General features: G+C 37.5%; 1 protein-coding gene across 6 annotated transcripts in view; it reads left to right on the top strand.

The window, feature by feature from the left end:
• Positions 1-25,972, top strand: part of CTNND2 (catenin delta 2) — a 932,611-nt gene that overhangs the window by 146,002 nt on the left and 760,637 nt on the right. The window lies entirely within an intron of this gene.

The raw sequence follows: 25,972 nt of genomic DNA, 5'->3' as shown, positions 1-25,972 counted from the left end.
TGAGCTTTCCTGATCAATTATACAGAATAGTGACTAAAATAACTGCATTGCATATTTTAATATTGGTAAAACAGTAGAAGTGAAATTTTTTTTAATCAAACAAAAATTTATGGTTATAAATGTGTTAGCTATCCTGATTTAATTATTCCACACCATAAATATATATCAAAACATCATATCATACTCCCTCATGAATGTATACAATTATGTATCAATTAAAAATACAAATTTTAAATAGATATTGGTATCATAGGGAATTAGAAAGATGGCATCTTCAGGATTTCAGAAGTAATTACCGTCTAAGTGACAAAGCTGAAGGATTTATCTAAAATTATAAAAACAACTTCCTTGAAACTAATGTGTATTGTTTTGTAATAGGATGTATATGCAAAAGAACTATTACATCCAAACATTGACTATTCTGGGGTCTAATCAAAATAATACATGACAAGATGTCAGAAATTTAGTTTAAAATCTTTGACTGCCCCTGACTACACTTCTGAGACTGTACATGCTGTTTATTTTTCCTGAGTCTCATCTTTCTCCATTTGTGAAATGAAGTTAAAAGTAATGACTTTTTACATTGGATGTAAGGGTCAGAAGATTTTTATCTGTAATTGCAGTAAAGTGGGTAAAGTGCTATAAGAGAAATACAACAACACTACTTTGACAAGTCATAGAAAGATGACTCATGTTTTTCTGTTAATGGAATCAGCTTTTTGTCTAACGGACTCTACAGTTTAAAATGTCATTTTACACAAAAGAAAACAATTATACATTACATTTTAACTGTCAGATTATTAAAAATTTAAATGACGACTCATATCTCTGTTTGCCAAAGGGCATGTAATTTGGCATTCCTTTATGTTGTTGGCGAAGTCTCCATTGGAAATGCGTTGGGAACAAGATGGCTGCATCTGTCACAGCTTAAGATGTTTGTATTCTTAGACACAGCAAATTCATTTCTAGGAATTTATTCTAAAATAATACTCACACATACACACATACACCCTTATAAAGTGATCCTGATTTCAACATATATTTATGAGCAAAATAAAAAAAGAAATGAAAAAAGTATTTGTAGAGGAGAGAACTAAAAATGATACATCAATACAGTGGGATAGCTGCGTACAGATTTAAACAACATGATAAATTCATAATGGTCTGAAATGGTCTCGAAGACATCCTGATTGGAAAAAAAGTTACAGAACAATATATATAGCATCATCACATTTTTGTTATGTGTGTGTGTGTGTATATGTGTGTATATCGATTTGTGTGTATGTGCATGTATGTATGTATATGTGTGTACCTTTACATATATATGTAAATTGATAGGGGAAAACTAGCAGAATACCCATAAAATATGACTGCTCAGAAATTTGTCTATATGTTGTTTTTATTGTTTTAAGTTGTTTGAATATTTGAAAACCAGATATTGTGTAATTTTTCAGGGTGTTAAGCAACTTTTTATAATGGTACTATGAATTTTTATATTGGAGTCACATTTCCTTTAACTTACCAGTTTAAATGTATTCTTAAAATACTTAGAAGTGATTATTGACTTTTCACATAACAACTAAAAGCAATGCAATGAAAACAACATTTGTAGAGGAGAGAACTAAAAATGTTACATCAATACAATGGGATAGCTGTCGACAGATTTAAACATGATAAATTCATAAGTAATGGTCTGAAATGGTCTCCAAAACATACTGATTGGAAAAAAAAGTTACAGACAATATATATAGCATCATCACATTTCTGTTAAGTGTGTGTGTGTGTGTGTGTGTGTGTATGTATGTGTGTGTATATCGATTTGTGTGGATGTGGATGTATTTATGTATATGTGTGTACCTTTACATATATATGTAAATGGATAGGGGAAAACTAGCAGAATACCCATAAAATATGACTGCTGAGAAATTTGTCAATATGTTGTTTTTATTGTTTTAAGTTGTTTGAATATTTGAAAGCCAGATACTGTGTAATTTTTCAATGTGTTAAGCAACATTTTATAATGGCACTATGAATTTTATATTGGAGTTACATTTCCTTTATCAGTTTAAATGTATTTTTAAAATACTTAGAGGTGATTATTGACTTTTCACATAACAACTAAACAACTGTTTATCCAGTGTTCAGTTTTTGAGTACTGTATTTTTTTTACTCAGATCAGATAGAAGTTATAATATTTAAAAAAATTTTCTATATTCTTGAATCAGCCACTTGTTAATAATTTTGTAGTGCTTGCAGCCTAGGCTTTATAACTGTTTAAAATTATTTTGGTTTTCTTTTCCGAATTTTATGTTAAATCTAGGCACAAAGTTTTTGCATAATGTTAGCATTAAAAAGCAGTCTTTTTGAAGGAACACTAGCTTACTCAGATGAGAAAGACCACAACAAGAACTCGGATAACTCAGAAAGCCAGAGTGGCTTCTACCTCCACATGACCACACTAGTTCTTCAGCAATGGTTCTTCACCAGGCTAAAATGATTGAAGTGACAGACATAAAATTCAGAACAGGAACATAGGGTAGGAAAAAAGATCATGAAGATTCAGGAGAAAGTTGAAACTCAATCCAAGAACTATAAGGAATAAAATAAAATGATACAGAAGCTGAAAGATGAAATAGCCATTTTAAGAAAGAACCAAACTGACCTGGTAGAGCTGAAAAGCTCACTTCAAGAATTTCATAATATAATTGCAAGTATTAACAGCAGAATAAACCAAGCTGAGGAAAGAATCTCAGAGCTCAAAGACCAGTTCTGCAAAATAAAATGATCAGACAAAAAAAAAAAAGAAGAATGAACAAAAACTCCTAGAAATATGGGATTATGTAAAGAGACCAAATGTATGACTCATCGGTGTCCCTGAAAGAGTGGGAGAGTAAGCAAGCAACTTGGAAAACATATTTGAGGATATCTTCCCTGAAAACTTTCCTAGCCTTGCTAGAGAGGCCAACATTCAAATTCAGGAAATGCAGAAAATGCCTGCAAGGTATTACAAGATGACCATCGACAAGACACATAGTCATCAGATTCTCTAGGATTGAAGTGAAAGAAAAAAATATTAAAAGCATCTAGAGAGAAGTTACAGGTCATCCACAAAGGGAACCTCATCTGGCTACTGGTGGACTTTTCAGCAGAAACTCTACAAGCCAGAAGAGATTGGGGGCCTATATTAAGCATTATGAAAGAAAATAAATTGCAACGGAGAATTTCATATCCAGTCAAACTAAACTTCGTAGATGAGGAAGAAATGAGATCCTTTTCAGACAAGCAGATGCTGAGGGAATTTGTTACCACCAGACCTGTTTTACAAGAGGTCCTGAAGGGAGTGCTAATTATGGAAAGGAAAGAATGTTCAACTAGCCACCACAAAAAGACACACAACTACATAAATCAGTGACACTATACAGCAACCACACAATCAAGTCTACATAATAACCAGCTAATAACAAGATAATATGATCAAATCTGTACATATCAATAGTAACATTGAATGTAAATGGCCTAAATGCCCCAATTAAAGGGCACAAAGTGGCAAATTGTATAAAGAAGCAAGATTTACTGTCTTTAAGATACTTACCCCACATGGAATGAAACCCACAGGCTCACAGTAAAGGGATGGAAAAAAATCCACTATATAAACAGAAAAAAGCAGGGGCTGCTATTCTAATTTCAGACAAAACAGACTTTAAACCAACAACAATCAAAACAGACAAAAAGGGCATCACATATTGGTAAAAGGATCAACTCAACAAGAAAACATAGCTATCCTGTATGTATATGCACCCAAGACAGGAGCACCCAGATTCATAAAACAAGTTCTTAGAGACTTACAAAGAGATGTAGATAACCACACAATAATAGAGGAAGATGTCAACACCCCACTGACAATATTAGATCATCAGAGAAGAAAATAATGAAGTTATTTGGGACCTCAACTCCACACTTGACCGAATAGATCTAACAAACATCTACAGAACTCTCCACCTCCCCGCCCCCTCCCCCAAAAAACCACAACAGAATAATAAGGAAATTCCTTGAAAGTGATGAGAACAAAGATAAAACATATCAGAATTTCTGGGACCTACCTAAAACATTGTTAAGAGAAACATTTATAACACTATATGCCCACATAAAAAAAAGTTAGAAAGATCTCAAATTCACAACCTAACATCACACCTAGAGAAACTAGAAAATCAAGAGCAAATCAACCCCAAAGGTAGCAGAAGATAAGACATAACCAAAATCAGACCTGAAATGAATGAAACTGAGAAAAAAATGTTACACAAAGGATCAACAAATCTTGGAGGTAGTTATTTGAAAGAATAAATAAGATTGATATACCACTAGCTAGATTAATAATAAAAGAGAGAGGAACCCAATAAACACAATTGGAAATAACAAAGAGGACATTACCACTGACCCCCAAGAAATACAAAAATCCCTCCGAGACTACTACAAACACCTCTATGCACACCTCTATGCACTAGAAAGCCTAGAAGAAATTGATAAATTCCTGGAAACATACAGTCTCCCAAGGTGAGAAAAGGAAGAAATTGCAATCCTGAACAGACTGATAATGAGTTCCAAAATTGAATCAGTAATAAAAACACTGCGAACCAGAAAAAGCTGAGTACCAGATGGATTCACATCTGAGTTCTATCAGGTGTATAAGAAGAGCTGGTACCAATCCTACTGAAACTATTCCAAAAAATTGAGGAGGACAGACTCCTCCCTAACTTATTCTATGAGGACAGCATCATCCTGATAGCAAAACCTGGTAGAGACACAACAAAAAAAGAAAACTTTGGGCCAATATCCTTGATGAACATTGATGTAAAAAGTCATCAACAAATTTCAAACGAACCAAATCCAGCAGCACACGAACAAGGTATTCCACCATGATGAGGTAGGCTTTATTCCTGGATGCAGGTTTGTTTCAACATTTGCAAATCAATAAATGTGATTCATCACATAAATAGAACTAAAAACATGAAACCTAATTATCTCAATAAATACAGAAAGGCTTTTAATAAAATTAAATATTCCTTCATGTTATGAACCTTCAGCAAACTAAGCACTGTAGGAACATACCTCAAAATAATAAGAGCCATCTATAACATACCCACAGCCATATCATAGTGAACAGGTAAAAGCTGGAAGCATTCCCCTTGAGAACTGGAACAAGACAAGGATGACCACTGTCACCACTTCCATTCAACACAGTTCTGGAAGTCCTAGCCAGAGCAATCAGGAAGGAGAAATAAAAGGCATCCAAATAGGAAGAGAGGAAGTCAGGCTTTCTCTGCTTGCAGACAATATGATTCTATACCTAGAAAACCCCATAGTCTCTGCCCCAGAGCTCGTAGATCTTACAAACAACTTTAGCAAAGTTTCAGAATGTAAAATTAGTGCACAAAAATCAGTAGCATTTGTATACATCAACAGTGTCCAAGCTGAGGGTCAAATGAAGAAACCAACCCCATTCACAATAGCCACAAATAGTGCAAAATACCTAGGAATGCAGCTAACCAGGGAGGTGAAAGATCTCTACAATGAGAATTACAAAATACTGCTGAAAGACATCTGAGATGACTGATAAAATGGAAGAACATTTCATGCTCATAGATAGGAAGAATACTGTTAAAATGGCCATACTGCCCAAAGCAACTTATAGATTGAATGCTATTCCAAACCACCAATGACATTCTGCACAGAAATAGAAATACCTATTGTATAAAGCATATAGAACGAAAAAAAGCCCCAATAGCCCAAGAAATCCTAAGCAAAAAGAACAAAGCTGGAGGCATCGCACTACCTGACTTTAAACTATACTATAAGCCTACACTAATGAAAACAGCATGTTAGTGGAAAAAGAAAAAAAAAAAAAGAACAGACACATAGACCAGTGGAACAGAATAGAGAGCCCAGAAATAAAGCCAGATACCTGCAACCATCTAATGGACATAACTGACAATGAGCAATAAGAAAAAGACTTCCTATTCAATAAATGCTGCTAGGATAAATTGGCCAGCCATATACAGAAGATTGAAACTGGATCCCTTCCTTACATAAATCAACTCAAGACAAATGGAAAACCTAAGACTATAAAAACCCTGATGATAACCTAGGAAATTGTATTCCAGTCATAGGCTCTGGTAAAGATTTCATGATGGAGACACCAAAAGCAATTGCAACAAAAACAAAAATTGATAAAGGGGACCACCTAATTAAACTAAAGAGTTTCTGCACAGCAAAATAAAATAGAGTAAACAGACGGCGTACAGAATGGGAGAAGATATTTGTAACTTATGCATCTGACAAAGGTCTAATGTAGAGAATCTGTAAGGAACTTAAAGTAGCAAGCAAAAAACAACCCCATTAAAATGTGGCCCAAAGACATGAACAGACACTTTTCAAAAGAAGACTGTGCACAGCCAACAATTTATGAAAAAGTACTTAACATCATGAATCATTAGAACAATGCAAATCAAAACCACAGAGAGACACTATCTCACACCTGTCTGAATGGCTGTTATTAAGAAGTCAAATAGTAACAGATGCTGGTGAGGCTGTGGAGAAAAAGGAATGTTATACACTGCTTGTTGGGATGAAAATTAGTTCAGCCATTGTAGTAAGCAGTGTGGCGATTTCCCAAAGAAGTTAAAGCAGAAGTGTCATTCAACCCAGCAATCCCATTATTGGGTATATTCCCAAAGGAATGTAAATCATTACACCATATTCATCACAACACTGTTCACAATAGCAAAAACGTGGAATCAACCTAAATGGCCATTAGCAGTAGACTGGTTAAAGAAAGTGTGGCAGATATACACTGTGGCATACTATGCAGCCATTAAAAAGCACAAGATCACGTTCATTGAAGCAACATGAATGGAGCTGGAGGCGATTATCCTAAGTGAACTAAAGCAGGAACAGAAAACCAACCCTCATGTTCTCACTTATAAGTGGAAGGTAAATATTGAGTACATGTGGACACAAAGAAGGGAACAACAGACACTGGGACCTATTTGAGGGTGTAGGGTGGGAGAAGGGAGATGATCAAACAACTACCTATTGTCTACTATGCTTCTTACCTGGGTGATGAAATAATCTGTACACCAGACCCCCATGACACTCAATTTACCTATATTACAAACCTGCATATGTACCCCTGAACCTGAAATAAAAGTTGGAAACAAGCTGTCTTTTCTTCTGCTTTACACTTGAGAAATTTCAGAATGAATGGTGGAAAAGATGATTAATATTGATTAAATTGTGAGCACATCAACAAAATTCACTGATAAATCTCTTTTAAATTATTTAATGGTTTCCCTAAGTAGAAATTTCAGGTTTACACTTTAGTGGAGTGTTTCTTTAATTTCCTGATATAAAAAAGTCTACTAAATTTTACCCCGGACAGGTGAGTGTCTATGAAATCTTAATTTTATCATACCAAGAAGTTAAGAAATACATTTGGTTTTAAAAAGTGCATTGCTTAAACCATATATCACAATGTTGTATGAGTATTCATAGTCATAGTTCATTTATCAATTATTATTGATTACATCTTGGTGTATAAGATAATTTAAAATATATTAACAAAGATAATTTAGGAATTAAAATCCATTTTGTATTAATGTCTAGTCTAGTCTAGACTAGCTAATGTCTAGTCACAAGCTTTGTAATTTTTAAAATATAATAAAAATTACTGTTTTTGAATCTTGACGCAAACCTACAATATAGAGCTATACCAATGTTACCTATACCAATGAGGAAACTAAGATCCAGAGAAATATTTTTCCAGTAGGACTGTAATTAAAGCTGAACCCTTTGGGGGCAAAACAAAATTTGTTTTTCAAGAGAAATTTAGACTATCATGTTCTTTTAACTCAGAAACTTTTGTAGGTATCCCCCGTCATGCACTCTGGACAGTGTATTAGTCAGGATGGGCTGGGCATGCCAAAGTAACAAACAATACCAAAATCACACTGGCTTAATCCAAGCAGTCTAGTTAATCACTCAAGCAACATATCCTCTGTGGGTAGATGAAACCTCCTCTTCCACATAGTTACTCTTCAATCTCTTATGCCTCTGCCACCCTAATACAACACACAGGGTTTTTCAAAGTAGGAAGAAACAGAGAATGAGGAATCATACAGGGGATCTTAAATGCTTGTACTCAATTATAATTCCTTAACCAAAACAAGTCATAACAGCAAGACTGATTTTAGGTGAATGCTGTCCTAGATGAAGAAGAAAAATGGAAAGTCAGTCAGCAGCGCTAGTATCTATCAAGGTAAAATTAACTCACTCCACCTTGAGTTGGGAGATTATGCAGTTGGTTCATACCAAGACCAGAAAGGTACTAGTTGAAGAATAGGAAGAAAGTCAAGTGCCAGAATACTGGCTTCAGTGTGAGCACTTGCCCAGAGGATCCTGCAAAAACCCTGCCAGAAAATTAGTCATTGGAAACTTAGCACTAATCATAGCTATATAATTATAGATTATGATATGCACTCATTAAGAGAAATACTTGAAACCTAAATATACAAGGGTCTATTTTTTTAAATAAGGTATAGTAAATGAATAAGATTAGATCATCTGATGACAAAAACATTGTATATCCTCATTATCATTCATATGTAAGACTATTATTTTATACTTATTTTATGTAAACCATGGAGAAGATATCCGTGTCCAAAAATATCAACCTAAACTTCAGCAATAATTATGAAATGCTTTTTAAATGTGTATATATACTAAGTAAAATCCTTGAACATCTTTAGAAATCTTTAAACAGACAGAATGTACTGTGAAATCATGATTACTCTCATGCTAAGTCATTCATACATTATTTTCCTTGATTTCTTCCTAACTTTGAACCTTTCTTGGAGATGGCTCCTGAGGAGTCTGTGATAAGTCATAAACTCTGAGGGACTATGCAGAATACAATTTGGGGATGGAGCAGAATCTCTGGCCTGGCATATTTTCTGACTCCTTCCATGTGCTGGTGTCAAAAAAAGACTATAATGAAATCACTGAAACCTCAGCATTAGGTAATGACCCTCAAAAACACCTGAAGATTGTCACTACGCTCAATATTAGTTATCTGTTGCTGCATAACACATTGCCCTAGAATTTAGGACCTTAACACAACTAATATTTATCTCATGGATTCTGTGAGTCAAGAATCTAGGAGCCACTTAGCTGGGTATTTCTGAGTCAAAGTTTCCTCTAATGTTTCAGTCAAGATGGGAGCTAGGTCTATATCATCTGAAGCAGGCCTGGGACTGGAAGATCTGCTGTCTAAATGTCTTACTCATATGGCCCATTGGTTGTAGGTATCAGTCCTTTGCCAGTTGTTGGTAGGAGGCTTTAGTTTTTCCTTACGTGGACCTCTTTCTCCATAGGGCTGCTTGAGCATCCTGTCTACCTGGAAGCTGACTTCCCCAGAGTGAATGATCAAAGAGAGATCAATAGGGAAGTCTGAGTGTCTTTCATAACTTGTCTCAGGATCATATACCATCACATCTACCATATTATTTGTGTAAAGGGTCACTAAGTCTAGCCCACTCTCAAGGGGAGGTGAAGTAAGCTCTACTTCGTGAAGAGAGGAGTATGAAAGAACCTGTGGACATAATTGAAAATTATCACATACTCCCAAACTCAACCCAACAGAGATAGTAACAAATAATAAGCAGATAAGATATAAATGCAGGTGAGAGGGAAAATATTTTCATTAGGAGGTAATTTAAAAAGGGAACAATATCTGAGAGTCTTATTTGGAGAAAATGGGAATTTGGCGGTAAAGAAATGCTATAAATTTTGCTTGACAGGGTAATGATTTGTACAAATTGTAAATTAAAAGAAAACAGAAAACAAATTGGCAAAAAAGTAAGGCTGGGAATTGATAATCACCCCTTTTCATAATATCTAATTATTTGTCCATTTAAAATTAGTTGTTGATCACATACCAGGGTATTTGAAGCCCTGAAGTGTAATATTGAATGATTATATACAAAAAATGAGTTTCTTTGCTATGTAACATTTACAATTACAGTAATACCTTTTAAATATATATAATTTAGATTTAACTCCTAAGCACAGCTTACTTTTAAAGTCATGTGTTGTAATAGGCAGGTTATATCACTTAAAATTTCAAAATTTGTTATATGCGGGTAAAAAATGTCAATGTATCTTGGCAGCTATAAAATTATTATGGCTCTATTCAGTCTTTGTTTTCTTAAGGTCAGCAATTTATTTAAAAAACTGCTAAGTCAATGGTAGTGACTAAAGTTGTATAAGAGTAGTTGAAACTCGGTTTTATAGTTAATTTTAAAACACTGATTGATACAGTCTCTGTTGTGATAGGTTAAACATATGGGCTGAGTGCAGATATCTGTTTGCAGAGTGAGATTTTTTGTGCTTGACTGCCCATTGATAGCAATTCTGGAAAAACTAGATGTGTCATTGAGCTTCGGTATCTTGAGAAATTGTGAAGTGGCAGATACATATTTGCAATCAATATGAAGGGTAAATTGCCATAATTTGAGTGGACACTTTCAAGTACTGTGAAGTAAGAACATGTTGCGAACCACTGTGTGGCTGGCATTTGGGGACTTTCTGTTTAATAGATTGTGACAGTCAAAGTTGGCAATTCACAGTGGTAAAATTGTTGTGACTGGCTTAAGCACGTTTTTTGTTTTGTTTTGTTTTTTTGCCAGATTTTATGATGTAAATCTATGATTAAATAGGGAATCTAAGCTGGAAAACTGTGTATTTGTTTAGGATATTACTAGGGAGAATATTTAGGAAGACAGATTGTATTTCACTTATAAGCTTAGATGCTTTTATTCAGTGTCTTGCACAGATGCAATGTATGAGATGGATTCGAAGTCTACAGGAGCTGTGTGAGAGGAACTCCAGAACCTGAGACATTTGGCAGTGACAGTGTATTCTGGACAGTCACTGTGTGTGGTGAACACTGTATTAGGGGCTGTGGTAAGCATGCTTCTTTGAAGTTTCAGCCAAAAGAATAGTCAATTCAACACTGAACTTCATTTTTATGAAATATGTTAGAACTTCCTCTTTTATTCTGGAAGAGTCAAATTTTAAAGTACTGTGCCTATTTCAATTTCGGCTCAATCTACTGTTAGTTTGATGGGTCTGTAATTTTAGAATCCCAGACTTTATTTTTCTGGCATAAGGATAAGTGTCCCTGTAGCTTGGTAAACCCATCAATCAGCTGTTGAAATATATTTGTGTTGTCTGGGGGAACTAGGATGGTTGTTGATGCAAGAAATGTGTCACTATCTAATTTGTAGTAGAGATGAACCCTAGAACTTATTATGATTATTAATTTTATCTAGACATATTTCCATTATAAATGTAGACATAGGTGTGATTGGTAGAAATATATATGGTTTGACTACTTTAATATCATGTATCAACCAAAGTCATTAATTTGAATATTTCTATTTTTATAGCTATATACTTAATAGATTTAATTTAACATATTGAATATTTATGTTTGTAAACCTGGGAAGAGTTATAGGACATTTATGTGCCAGTGTTGTACGTGTAAAATTCCTTGACATTTTAAAATGGGGCTGACAATAAATTATAAATGTTCTTTCATTTTGACTTATTCAATAAGCATTTAATGATGCCAGCTCTTTACTAGGCATTATTCTAGGCACTGAGGTTATAAATATGAATAAGACCCAATTTCTGTGCTCAAAGAATTCATGAACTAATTAGGGGATGTAAAATGTAAAATGTAAAATATATGGTATTTCCATAGATCTAAGATATTGAGTATATCATTGATTTAGTAACACTTTTAATTGCAAATGACAGAAAATTTATCCCGAATGGCTTAAAGGAAAAAGGGGCCATAGTCACATGAAGAACCATCCCGATTTCAAAAACATTAAAAGTTTTTTTTAATCCCAGAAGAGATAAGATCATCACAGTTCTTAGTGATCATGTAATATCTGAGGAAAGTTCAAGCTGTAAAGGTAACAGTAAAGAGGACGTGAAGTGATTCATGGTGCCTGGAGTTGTCCAAAAGGCTTCAGAGAGGAAGAAATGCATCCATTAGGACTATGAAAGTGAAAAGAGAAAGGGAGTTTGGCAGCCAACAAAAGTCTTGGTGATGGTAAAGGGAAGATGATAAATTCAATTGTGGTAAACTGAATTGGCACACGCAGGAAGAGAACTCTGCGTGTTCACAACACAGTTTATTAAGATGTATTGGGAGTGGCAAGAGGCTTGGTGTGTGTAGTGTAAGGTGTGAGAGGAGAGGCAACAGCCTTAAGAGTGGAGATGTGTGGGCCAGGGCAAGAACAGCCTCATACATCATGCAAAGCAGATCGAACTCTATCCTCTGTGTCAGTGGTTTCTGAACTGTTTTGTATCCATTAATTTAGTGGGTGACACTAGCATTTTAAATAAAATGGAATAAAATATAAAATATAGTGCATCACATGTTATAAAGCTTCCTTTTTCATGAAGTCTTGTTTCTGTTAAAATACATGATTATGTGTAATTGGGCCATGAGTTAAAACACATTTTCTGTCAAAGAAAGTTTGGAAACCTCTGTTTAGATGCTGAGATCCACTCAAATAAATTTAGGGAAAAAGCATTATGTGATCAGATGGTTGGTAAGGAAGATTGACTCTTTTAATGAATAATGCATGGACTTGATTGAAGGAGGTAATATTGCAGGCATGAGAGGCAGGTTAGGAGGGTTTTGTGTGTCCAGGCAGGAGACTTGGACTCATGCTGAATTTGGTGTGTTTCTGAGGATCTGATGGAGCCATTTGCAGTAGATTGTGGCTTATTACAAATGTATAGTATGGACATCAACTGTGAGGTCTCAGCTAGAGGTAGACATCTGAATCATTACTTGCACATCCAATCTTGGGTGTGCATGGCTTTGCCAAAGAGAGGTCTGGATAGTGTTCAATGAGAGGAAATAGAAAGTGTGGACCCCTTGGAAACTCATATACGTATGCCAGTGGCCTTCAGCCTCATTGTACTAGCCTCTCCCCAGGATTCCACATGCAGTTGTAGAGAGTGGCTCACTTCGTTTGTTGATATAATAATATAGTATCCCACGAAGGGCGCATCTAAAGAAGACTCCTGAGAATGCCTTGGTGGAGCCAACATGTGTGAGGGGTGACAACATTGCCAACAATGTATGTGCCACACTTCCATTATTGGGATATGACACAGAATTCCAAGAAAATGCAAATCCATAAATACAATGTTTATTTGGTTTAAAAAACAATGATAATATAGTACGTTATATATAGGTTATTTCCTGAAATTACCAGGTTCAAGTTCAAGATCATTAACAAATTCAAGGTCATCATCCAATTTCTTAAAATCCTTAGCTGGGCATGGTGGCTCATGCCTGTAATCCCAGTACTTTGGCCGAGGTGGGTGGATCGCCTGAGCTCAGGAGTTCGAGACCCACCTGGGCAACATGGTGAAACCCCATGTCTACTAAAAGCACAAAAATTAGCTGGACGCGGTGGCACATGCCTGTAGTCCCAGGCTGAGGTGGAAGGATCACCAGAGCCTGGGAGGTGGTAGTTGCAGTGGGCCGAGATTGTGGCACTGCACTCCAGCCTGGGCAACAAAGTGAGACTCTGTCTCAAAAAAATAATAATAATAAAATAATAAAATAGAAATACACACACACACACGTGCACACACACACACACGCACACACACAAACACACACACACACACTCCTCTTCAAGGATCTACCAACAGCATGTCTGCTGACCCCACTTTTCTTCTCTGGCAGTGTTTCGAGGCTCACGCCAGTGCTCCCTGCATCTCAGCCCACTTGCTGCTCTTTCCTGCTCCTCATGTCTCCCTATATACATTTATTCTGATCCTTTCCTCTCTGCTCTAACCCTGTGCCATTACACTGTCAATCACTCCATCTCCTACACTTTTTTAGCTTTCTTCTCAGTCCTCAGGTCTGAGGGGACCCTGATTGCTGTTGAGAGATCTGTCAGTTCTGCCCTGAGAGCCTAACCTGTTGCTTGGCCGTCGCGCATCTTCCTTGCTTCACCTGTGGTGTTGGCTCTGGCTCTCAAGTCACAAGCTTGCCTGGGGCAGAGCTCAGGAGCAGCAGCAATTGATTCACCCTTAACCACTGGTTTGTTTTTAAAAGCACTACCTTTTCAATAATATTTTTAAGACAGATAAGTTGTTAGTGTAATGCTTGTTAAGATTAGATAAAATTGGCTGAGATCATGCTTTAGAAACAGACGGTGAGACATTCGGAACGTAGCCAAAGGAAGACCTGCTCCCATCCTCACTGACCGCAGTTTGCTAGAGCCTGGCTGCTTAGGCGTCTCCCCTGTATGAGGAGCACCGTTCCATCTTGCTTTGTAGAAGTCATCACAGAACCTTCCTTTTTACCTTCACACATAATATGTCACTAAGAATAATAACTCAGGTGGAAATTAAGTCTGTGGTGATATTCAGGATGATCCCATTCTTCTCAATGATGAATAGCTCATGCAAGGATACAGAATGGGTTTCCTGACCCACCAAGCTATGTTGACCCTCCCACTGCTCCTGCCTGTCTGAACGCAGAGGTAGAACGGTAATCCCCTTGTGTTTGACACATGAGCTCCACACTGAGATCCCACCAGCTCTCCACCCTCCAGCCATCACATCTTCCACTACAGCAGCAAATGACCTGTGTAGCCGCCTCCATGAATAAGACCTAATGCCACACCCCCAACTTCTCAGGTGGAACTGAAATTCCTCTGCCTCCTGCCTTTGTCTGCTGATGCCCTTGTGGTTGCATGTTCTGACTATGGCTCAAAGGTGCTGCTTCCCATCCTTGCATGATCTTCTCTATATGTTTTGCCAGATTCTATATTTGCAAGCTGTTGGTTGCAAGTATCAGGTTCTGGAAGCCTACTTGATCGACGATTCTACCTTGGAAGCCACTTACCCAAAGTGTACATCATTCTCAGGTAGTTGACGGAAGCGAAAGTCTTAAACTAGTCCTAGGATTCTGAATCCTATTTCTGCTTTTACTGAAAAGCAGCTATCTTGAGTTGAAATAAAGGAGTATCATTTCAAATGCCACATAGAGAAATGCTCCTAATGCAAAGCCCATTATATTTTTGTTACATGCTCTCATAAGCAATTATTATTGATTTTACTCTAATCGTTCATATATTAGCTCAACAAATATTTATTAACTAGCTTCTATATATTACATACTGAGTTAGCTGTGGGAAATTGAACATAGACCAAGACAGATTGAGTTTCTGCCCTAATTGTTTATAGTTTTGACAACTATTACTATATTGTTTATATTATGATAAGCGATAACTTTAGATTTCTCTTTGTAAAGTGAGAAGTGAGGATGAATATATGTTTATGTGTGCAGAGCACTTCTGAGTGAGAATGACATGATGCCTATTTCTTTTGGTAGCGATATGCTAGTTACAAATAGAGAATTGCAGTTTTGGTGATGAGAGTGATTACACAAATGAGGTGCTCAATACTGTTCTTTGTGTTGCTAATTTGTACTAATCCACACATTCTGTGTACCCTAATATGCATAAAAAGATGTTTATGCTTATTCTTCAATTATACGTAGTAGGAGTCTTTAAAATGTCACCTATTCAGTGGAAGATTTTCAAAATAAAATATTTTAAAATATGTAAATTTTTAAAACATTCAGTAGCTCATATTTACATATATATTTAAATAACAATACCTGGGATGTTCTAATGCCATATTTCATTATTCACTTGGGTATAAGGTAATGGCAGATTATGAAAGTAATGCCTGATGATGGAAGTAAAGCCAAAAGTAATTCTATTTTGCCAACATTTGTTTTTTAGAACATAGGATCAAGAACAGGGAGGGGGGTATTCTCTGAAAGAAATGGAAGACATTTCTTTGATCTACATGAGAGAAGGAAAGAAGGCTAAGTGTGGCTGTAACAGGGTTCTCTTGTTTGTTTGGTGTGAGGGGGCAGGAAGTCAAGGTAGTTAACATCAGAGTCTCTGGAGTTGAAGTCTGTTGCTGAAGGTAAAAGAAGAAAGTGAGAGAAGAGTTATAAATGTTTCTAGCTACTCTAAACTAAAAGATAAAAAGGGACCTTCCTGAAGAGAAGGAACAGGACGGGAAACAAGATTTGACAAGCAATGTTTAGAAGTCATCAATATATTTTTTTCCTCCATAAGTTTTGGGGTAACAGGTGGTGGTTGGTTACATAAGTAAGTTCTTTAGTGGTGATTTCTGAAATCTTGGTGCACCCATCACCCAAGCAGTATACACTGTACCCAATGTGTAGTCTTTTATCCCTCACCCCCTCCCACCCTTTCCCCCCGAGTCCCCAAAGTCCATTGTATTATTATTATGCCTTTGTGTCCTCATAGCTTAGCTCCCACTTATGAGTGAGAACATATGATGTTTGGTTTTCCATTCCTGAGTTACTTCACTTAGAATAATTGGCTCCAATTCCATCCAGGTCACTGCAAATAACATTATTTCATTCCTTTTTATGGCTGAGTAGTATTCCATTATATATATATATATGAATACTACTATATATACATATATACTATGTAATATATACATGTATACTATAATATATGAATATATATTATATATATAATATACATGAATATATAATATATAAGACAATTTATTTTTTATTATACTTTAAGTTCTAGGGTACATGTGTACAACGTGCAGGTTTGTTATGTAAGTATACATGTGCCATGTTGGTTTGCTACACCCATCAACTCGACATTTACATTAGGTATTTCTCCTAATGCTATCTCTCCCCCAGCCCCACGCCCCCTGACAGGCCCCAGTGTGTTGATGTTCCCAGCCCTGTGTCCATGTGTTCTCATTGTTCACCTCCCACCTGTGAGTGAGAACATGCAGTGTTTGCTTTTCTGTTCTTGTGATAGTTTGCTTAGAATGATGGTTTCCAGCTTCATCCATGTCCCTGCAAAGGACATGAACTCATCCTTTTTTACGGCTGCATGGTATTCCATGGTGTATATGTGCCACATTTTCTTAATCCAGTCTATCATTGATGGACATATGGGTTGGTTTCAAGTCTTTGCTATTGTGCATAGTGCTACAGTAAACATACGTGTGCATGTGTCTTTATAGTAGAATGATTTATAATCCTTTGGGTATATAGCCAGTAATGGGATTGCTTGGCCAAATGGTATTTCTAGTCCTAGATCCTTGAGGAATTGCCACACTGTCTTCCACAATGGTTGAACTAATTTACACTCCCACCAACAGTGTAAAAGCATTCTTATTTCTCCACATCCTCTCCAGCATCTGTTGTTTCCTGACTTTTTAATGATCGCCATTCTAACTGGCATGAGATGGTATCTCATTTTGGTTTTGATTTGCATTTCTCTGATGACCAGTGACGATGAGAATTTTTTCATGTGTCTGTTGGCTGCATAAATGTTGTCTTTTGAGAAGTGCCTGTATGAAAAGTCCTGTATGAAAAGTGCCTGTAAGAAGTGTCCTTTGCCCACTTTTTGATGGGTTGTTTTTTTCTTGTAAATTTGTTTGAGTTCTTTGTAGATTCTGGATATTAGGCCTTTGTCAGATGGGTAGATTGCAAAAATTTTCTCCCAGTCTGTAGGTTGCCTGTTCACTCTGATGATAGTTTCTTTTGCTATGCATAAGCTCTTTATTTTAATTAGATCTCATTTGTCTGTTTTGGCTTTTGTTGGCATTGCTTTTGGTGTTTTAGTCATGAAGTCTTTGCCCATGCCTATGTCCTGAATGGTATTGCCTAGGTTTTCTTCTAGGGTTTTTATGGTTTTAGGTCTTACATTCAAGTCTTTAATCTATCTTGAATTAATTTTTGTATAAGGTGTAAGGAAGGGATCCAGTTTCAGCTTTCTACATATGGCTAGCCAGTTTTCCCAGCACCATTTATTAAATAGGGAATCCTTTCCCCATTTCTTGTTTTTGTCAGGTTTGTCAAAGATCAGATGGTTGTAGATGTGTGGTGTTATTTCTGAGGCCTCTGTTCTGTTCCATTGGTCTATTCGTCTGTTTTGGTACCAGTACCATGCTGTTTTGGTTACTGTAGCCTTGTAATATAGTTTGAAGTCAGGTAGTGTGATGCCTCCAGCTTTGTTCTTTTTGCTGAGGATTGTCTTGACTGTGTGGGCTCTTTTTTGGTTCCATATGAACTTTAAAGTAGTTTTTTCCAATTCTGTGAAGAAAGTAATTGGTAGCTTGATGGGGAGGGCATTGAATCTATAAATTACCTTGGGCAGTATGACCATTTTCATGATACTGATTCTTCCTATCCATGAGCATGGAATGTTCTTGCATTTGTTTGTGTCCTCTTTTATTTCGTTGAGCAGTGGTTTTTAGTTCTCCTTGAAGAGGTCCTTCACATCCCTTGTAAGTTGGATTCCTAGGTTTTTTATTCTCTTTGAAGCAATTGTGAATGGGAGTTCACTCATCATCTGGCTCTCTGTCTTCTATTGGTGTATAGGAATGCTTGTGATTTTTGCACAGTGATTTTGTATCCTGAGACTTTGCTGAAGTTGCCTATCAGCTTAAGGAGATTTTGGGCTGAGACGATGGGGTTTTCTAAGTATACAATCATGCTATCTGGAAACAGGTACAATTTGACTTCTTCTTTTCCTAATTGAATACCCGTTATTTCTTTCTCCTGCCTGATTGCCCGGGCCAGAACTTCCAACACTATAATAGGAGTGGTGAGAGAGGGCATCCTTGTCTTGTACTGGTTTTCAAAGGGAATGCTTCCAGTTTTTGCCCATTCAGTGTGATATTAGCTGTGGGTTTGTCATAAATAGCTCTCAATCTTTACATTCCCTGACTGACATCAGAGTGTGGTTTCTGGCCATAGAGCTCAGCTGCCCAGATGTCAGCAGCACATAAGAGTCATAGGTAGATTTCAGGTTGAAAGTTTGCAGGCAAGGTTGCCTTTCCCTGCCCCAAGTCTGTTCCACCCACATTCTTGACATCTTGGCTGATGGCCGGTCACTCAGGCCAAGCCCTTGGACTCACCTGGTCTCCTCTCACTGTGGCTTACATCCACATAGAATCTTTCAGGAGGCCCACCAGTTCTGCCTTCCAATTATCCTGGTAATCTGACCACATCTCAAGACCTCTCCTGCCTGGATTCAGCTGCAGATGGAAGATTACATCAGAGAATTTACTACTGGGCATAGACTTGGGCTATCAGTAGAACTTTCTGCAGTGATGGAGATCTTCCACTTTTCACTGTTCAATAGTGTACCCACTGGCCATCTCTAGCTCTGGAGCAGTTGAAATATATGAATAGTTGACTTTTTAATGTTATTTTAATTAAAATGTAGATAGTCATGTGTGGGTAGGGGCTGCTATAGTGCAAGTCTAACTAATGAAATCTCTAGCTTCCCACAGCATACTTGCAGTTTGGAAATGCTGGAATTTGAAGCATGTGACTTCAGAGCCTGAGGGCCCTAGGACCCCAAGAGTGACAGAATGAGAGGAGAATTGGAAGGATAAGAGGTCATGGCTTATAGAGAGGGGAGGGCAGCTAAGAAGGAGCAAACCCATATAATGGCCACAGGAACTTACTGGAAAATTGGAGAGGAGGGGACCACCAAGTAAGAGTGACACAAGAATGCTGGCTGTATCACTTAATTGGATGGTTGTGTGATACAGACATCATCAGTTATTTTGTTGAAGATGACCATGTCTTGATGTGTAAGTCATCAGTTGCAATGCAAAAGTGACTAAAGAAAGAACAAGTTCAAATATGAAGAATTTACGTGTGTGTTTGTGTGTGTGTGATGGATGTCAATAAAATATGACATTGAATATTGTCTCTGCATTGACGGCTAGAGAGTTTGGCCTTCCAAAATGCAGTTAAGATTCTAGCATGTTGCCAAGTGTAATGTAAATTTATAGAGACTCCTATTTGGGAAAGAAAAGTTTAGACTATTCATTTGGACATCATAACATCTTATTACCTATGGTTATAAGAGTTCAAACTGAAAAGAAGGCTCGGCATGCAGGGCCTAACTGCTTTTGCTGTTATTGTTATGCAGGCCAATTTTTCTGAATTTCTTATTGCATCATTTATGAAAGTGGTAGTATTATGGATGTGTTTAAGATACTGTTTTATTCTGTAGGCTTATTTCATACAATGGGGTACATCCCTTTGTAAGCTTTGCTTTGTCCCGGTATGCTGATTTGAAGCAATGTTGGGACACATGCCTCCTCCTGAGACCTGTGATTCGTTTTAGATGAAGGTGTTACCAAGAGATGTTTTACCTTTCTCCTGTCAGTTCCCAAGACTCCATGCCCAGCCCACAGGGGAATTAAGGGAAAGAAAGTTGAGAAAATTGAACACTTTTTGTATTGGTCAGCTTGTGCCGCCATAGCACAATACTACAGACTGAATGGTTTAAATAACAGAAATTTATTTTCTCATATTTCTGGAGACCAGAAGTCCAAGATCAAGGTGCCAGTAGGCCACCTCTCTTCCCCGCTGGTCAACAGTACTTTCTCATTGTGCCTACTTATGGCTTTCTGTCTTTGTGTATGCAAAGGGGAAGAGAGACCTCTGATGCCACTTGCTCTTCGTATAAGCACATGAAGTCCTGTTATATTAGGGCCCCACCACTCTGTGACCCCATTTAACCTTAATCACCTCCCTAAAGGCTCCATCTCCAATACAGTCACATAGGGATTAAGGCTTCAGCATATGAATTTGGGGAACACAGTTCTGTCCGTAACACTGCTCATGCATGTGTGGGCATAGAGCAGGGTGACTTGCACCCTGAAACTGCTAGTGGTGTTGTTTTATTATTTTCTGGACATAGGACTTGTTGGTACCAAGTTCTGCTAGAAGAACCCACCCGAAATTTAGGGCTGTTCTTCCCGCACTGCTGTCTCTTTTTCTCATGTGGAAGATGGGTCTGTCCAAAATGCAGCTTGGGTATTTGCAGATTATAATTCTACTATGTGTAGGAAGACTTCTTACATGGTAACCACTTCAAGGGTAGCAAGAAGTGCTGTACAGGGTGAATAAATCTGGGTAAATTGTGCACTCTACTCACAGTCAAACAAAAACAAAGTCAAAGGGGTGCATTTTTCTATATCAGGTTGGCAAAAGCCTGAGAGGATAATGGAGATCCGTGTGGTTAACATTGTGGTGAGGTAACATTCTCATGACCTTTCCAGTGGGCGAGTAGGCTGGACCAGCCTGGCAGCAGGACTGGCTAACAAAAGGCCGAAAAATACACAGATTCCTTATTTTACCAATTCTACTGCTGGGAACCCATGTATTGAATATGTCATAGATGTAAAAATGGGGTAAAAATCACATATAAAAGACAGGTAGATAACTTTCAACATGTACAGATTATTGAATACTGAGTATTCATTGTAATTAAACTGTAGAGCAATGTTTGTTGATATAAGAAATTGTTCATGAGATGTTGCTGAGCCACAAGAAATTCAAAAACCTTGCATTAGTACCTTATTATGTAAAAAACATTGTACAGAATAAGTTATATTAGAAATAATAAATCACCAAAATCCCAAAGTAATTTTACTTATCTGGAATGGCAGAATTGCTGGTGGTTGCTCTTCCTTTGTTCTTGGTTTTTGCTTTTTATTTCTCTATACTTCCCAGATTTCCTGGTTGCACAGATTAAATACTAATTTTTAGTAGATTAGCTGTGATTAAGACTGACGTATTTGGCCATATTACTGCGAAGTTAGAAGTTTAACACTTTTTATACTTACCCTAAGGCCATCCAGGGATTCACTGGGGCAGGTCTTTTGTGGTTTCCTCTCTCTCTTCTGTGTGACCTGAGCTGAGAAGATTGTGATTGGAGGGTGACTGTCTTTTCTGTCCAGACACAATAGTTACATTAAATTTGGATTAAAAAAATTATGAATCATGGAAATTATTCCAAGTCATTTGCATTCAGGAATGGAGGTTGCTTTAGGTAGCGGTAGCTCTGTACGGTGGAATAAGCCTTGAAGATTCCACTTCTCTTTCTGTTATTGCTGTAAGGAGAAAGGAGGTAGATAAACAGGCCTAATTATTCCCCATACTGTGTGGGTCACACTTGTCAAGTGCCGGAGGAGAAACCTTGATTCAGTGCCTATTAAATCCCATATTTTTTTATGACAGGTCACTGTTATGCTTTTAAAGAGTTACATTTTATAAAAATTAGTTAGTAGAGTAGCATTAGGAGGCAGTACAGGTTATAGGAAATAGGCTGACACATCAAAGGACATTGAAATAGGAATTAAAAGGCAGAAAGCCTGAGTTCTGGGCCCACTTATGTGACTTAATAACTTTGGGCCCTTAAACAATTTCTTTGTCAAAAATATGTTGATAAGAATACTGGCTCAGAGCCTGAATTAGCATGGGCCCAATAAAATGTAAATAAACAAAAATTAAAATGGTAATTTAAAATATGTAAGAGTCCCCCTTTCTCAGCATGAGGTGCTCCTTGTGTATTAGTCCATTCTCATGCTGCTAATAAAGACATACCTAAGACTGAGTAATTTATAGAGAAAAAGAGTTTTCATGGACTCACAGTTCTGCATGGCTGGGGAGGCCTCACAATCATGGCAGAAGGTGAAGGAGAAGCAAAGGCATGTCTTGCATGGTGGCAGGCAAGAGAGCACGTGCAGGGGAACTGCCCTTCCTAAAACCATCAGATCTCATTAGACTTATTCACTATCATGAGAACAGCATGGGCAAAACCTGCCTCCGTGATTTAATTACCTCCCACCTGGTCCCTCTCACTACACGTGGGGATTATGGAAGCTACCATTCAAGATGAGATTTGTCGGGGGACATAGCCAAACCATATCACCTTGCATAGAGTCCCCTGTGAACCCATGGACATGGAGAGAGGTGGCAATAGAAGGTCACGGCGGCTTTCTCAGGGACCAGAGGTGACTGTGCACACAAGAGCTGCATTGTCCTTCCTTCTTACTTTCTGCTCTTTCACCATCTCTGAAACCTTCCCTAGCTGGAAATTCATAGGTTCCACTCTTTATCTGGGCACAACATTTGCTGAACTGGTTGTTTACATTTTACATAATTAAGAGACTTGATCGAATAAGAAAACCATATGAGAAAGCATGTTGAATACATAAATATGCTTTATTATGTTCTTCCTAACACACCACCATAATTACGCAAATCTCTTTCTGTCATCCTGTTGGTATTCATCACCTTCAATACTTTAATCTTTTTAGCTGTGGTTGCATTTTGCCAAATCATATTTAATCTGATTCTAACTCTTTGCTCAAATTTTGTTTTGTTGATATTATTTCCCCAAACCTTCTCACATATTCTGTTCATAACAGATTTCCTTTTCCAGTGCTATTCCAATCCCCATTGGTGATATTATTATTCCTTCTCACATATTCTGTTTGTAACAGATTTACTTTTTCAGTGCTATTCCAATCCCCATTGGTGATATTATTATAAGTACTTCATAAAATTAAAACAAATAAAAAATTAGATGAAATGTTCAATAGGAAATTTGGATGACTGCTTTCCTTAACATATATTTTAAGTAAAATTCTGTAATGGGGCCTTTTTAGGTTGGAATATCTCTAAATTATTAACTAGACATACGTAATAACTTAGGGCAAAGGCTACTGTGGAAATCACATCTCTTAATGTAAAACCCAGGATGCTTAGATATGGTATAATAGAAAATATCTTTTAATATTTACACAACCCTGGTTCCTGGAGGGATGTGTAATGTAATAGCTTTAGGCAAGAAAATAATTTCTGTTTACTCTCAGTCTTTTATTGAGATGGGGGTTTTGTAATGCCTTGGTAAATATCCTCAGTTAACTATTGCTTTCTCTGTTGATCACTGCTAGATGATACATGTAACAAATACTTCAGTCCCTTTTTAAGTTCATTTGAGCTACAGATCTCTTGAGACTTATTCACTGTCATGAGAACAGCATGGGCAAAACCTGCCCCTATGATTTAATTACCTCCCACCTGGTCCCTCTCACTACATGTGGGGATTTTGGGAGCTACAATTCAAGATGAGATTTGTTGGGGAACATAGTCAAACCATATCACCTTGCATAAAGTCCCTTGTGAACCATTGGACATGGAGAGAGGTGGCGATACAAGGTCATGGCTGCTCTCTTGGGGACCAGAGTAACCAAACACCATAAATTGGCTCCTTATAAGCAATGGAAATTAACTTGAAGTTCTGGAGCTGGGAAGCAAAAGATTAAGTCCTGGCAGATTTAGTGTCTGGGGAGGGCCGACTTTCTGGTTTATAGATGATGCCTTATTGCTGTGCCCTCACATCGTGGGAGGGTAGAGAAGTCTCTCTCAGGCCTCTTTTATAAGGACTCATCCTATTTATGAGGGCTCCACCCTCTTGACTTCATCTCCTCTCAAAGGCCCCTCCTCCTAGTACCATCACCTTGGGTATTAATATTTCAGCGTATGAATTTGGGAGACATCAACATTCAGACCACAGCAATCTCATTTGTTTGTGCGGGAAAGATGGGAACAATTCTGAGAATCTTGTTTTTAACCTGTACATATGCATCCACTTATGCATTGGGTCTAATGTTATTTGAGTTTCTGCTTTCTTTCACAAATAAACTCAGACAAAATCAACTATGGCAAATGGCCTTGCCAGTTTTTGTCTGCTGTCTGTCATGGACTAGGAACTTGGTAAATATTTGTGGAGTAGATTAGTTATTGACTGTATTTCACAATACTAACTAAGCTTCTTATGTTAATTCAGGTATCTCTTTAATTATTGGTAAATTATTAATCATGGCTTCTGTATGATTTTCTTGCAAAGGGGAATGTCTGATAGATTTTCTTTTGAGTTGAAAATATTCTGTTTTGGGAAAAACCCTCTCAAACTCTATTTTTCTTCTACTCTCACACAACAACAACAAACACAGAAGACTTCTGTGACCAAATGTGTGGGTTTTTTCCCATACACGCCAAGCAACAGACACAGTTGGGTGTCCTCTAATTCAGTTCTGACACTATCTACTCTATCAGTCCGACACTATCTACTACACTATCCACTCTCAGAGAGTGTCAGAGCCCACATGTTGAGGGTTCAGTCCCCAAAACTGTCTCATCCCCCCAGATACCAATTGCAAGTCCAGGCCTCAGAACTTCTGACCAACAGGCTTCAGCTGGGGTTCCCACAGTCCCTGGGTTGGATTCTATTAATTTGCCAGAGCAGCTCAGAGAACTCAGGGAAACACATATGTATACACGTTTATTTCAGAGGATATCACAAGGGATACAGATGAAGATATGCATAGGGCGAGTTATGGGGGAAGAGGTGCAGAGCTTCCAAGCCCTCCCGATGTGCCACTTTCCAGGAACCTCCAGGTGGTTAGCTCTCCAGAAGCTCTACGAACCCAGTCCTCTGGGGTTTTATGGAGGCTTCTTGACATCAGCATTTTTTTCCCCAGGACGTAGGGGGCAGGACCCTCTGTGGAATGAGGATCTTATGACCCACAATCAGAAAGGAGGCAGGGAGGATTAGAGTCCTGCCTTAGAGCAGGTAAAAGGAGGGCAGGGGAAGGTCAGAGAGATTGCTTTCTGAGGCCTGCTCCTGAGACCTGACACACCCAGTACCATCACAAGACTATAACGGGGGTTATGGGAGATATGAGCCAGGAACCAAGGAGGAAACATGTAATAACAGCACATATACCAATAGGCAGGTAATAAATTTACCTAAAATAGTCATAAATTTATAGTTGGACTAGCTTCTTAGACTCAATACTTCTTTATTACTTTATTCTTATAGTCTCTCCTTCTTTTTCCTTCTGATGATTTCTTTCCCCATTTACCTCAAAGACAAAACAGAAAGTGTGAGTGTGTTCTGGAATTTGGTTGGAGTTG

The sequence above is a fragment of the Homo sapiens genome, chromosome 5 (assembly GCF_000001405.40).
Source record: "Homo sapiens chromosome 5, GRCh38.p14 Primary Assembly".
NCBI lineage: Eukaryota > Metazoa > Chordata > Mammalia > Primates > Hominidae > Homo > Homo sapiens.
Note: the sequence above shows the minus strand (reverse complement) of the source record. Positions and strands in the feature narration are given on the sequence as shown.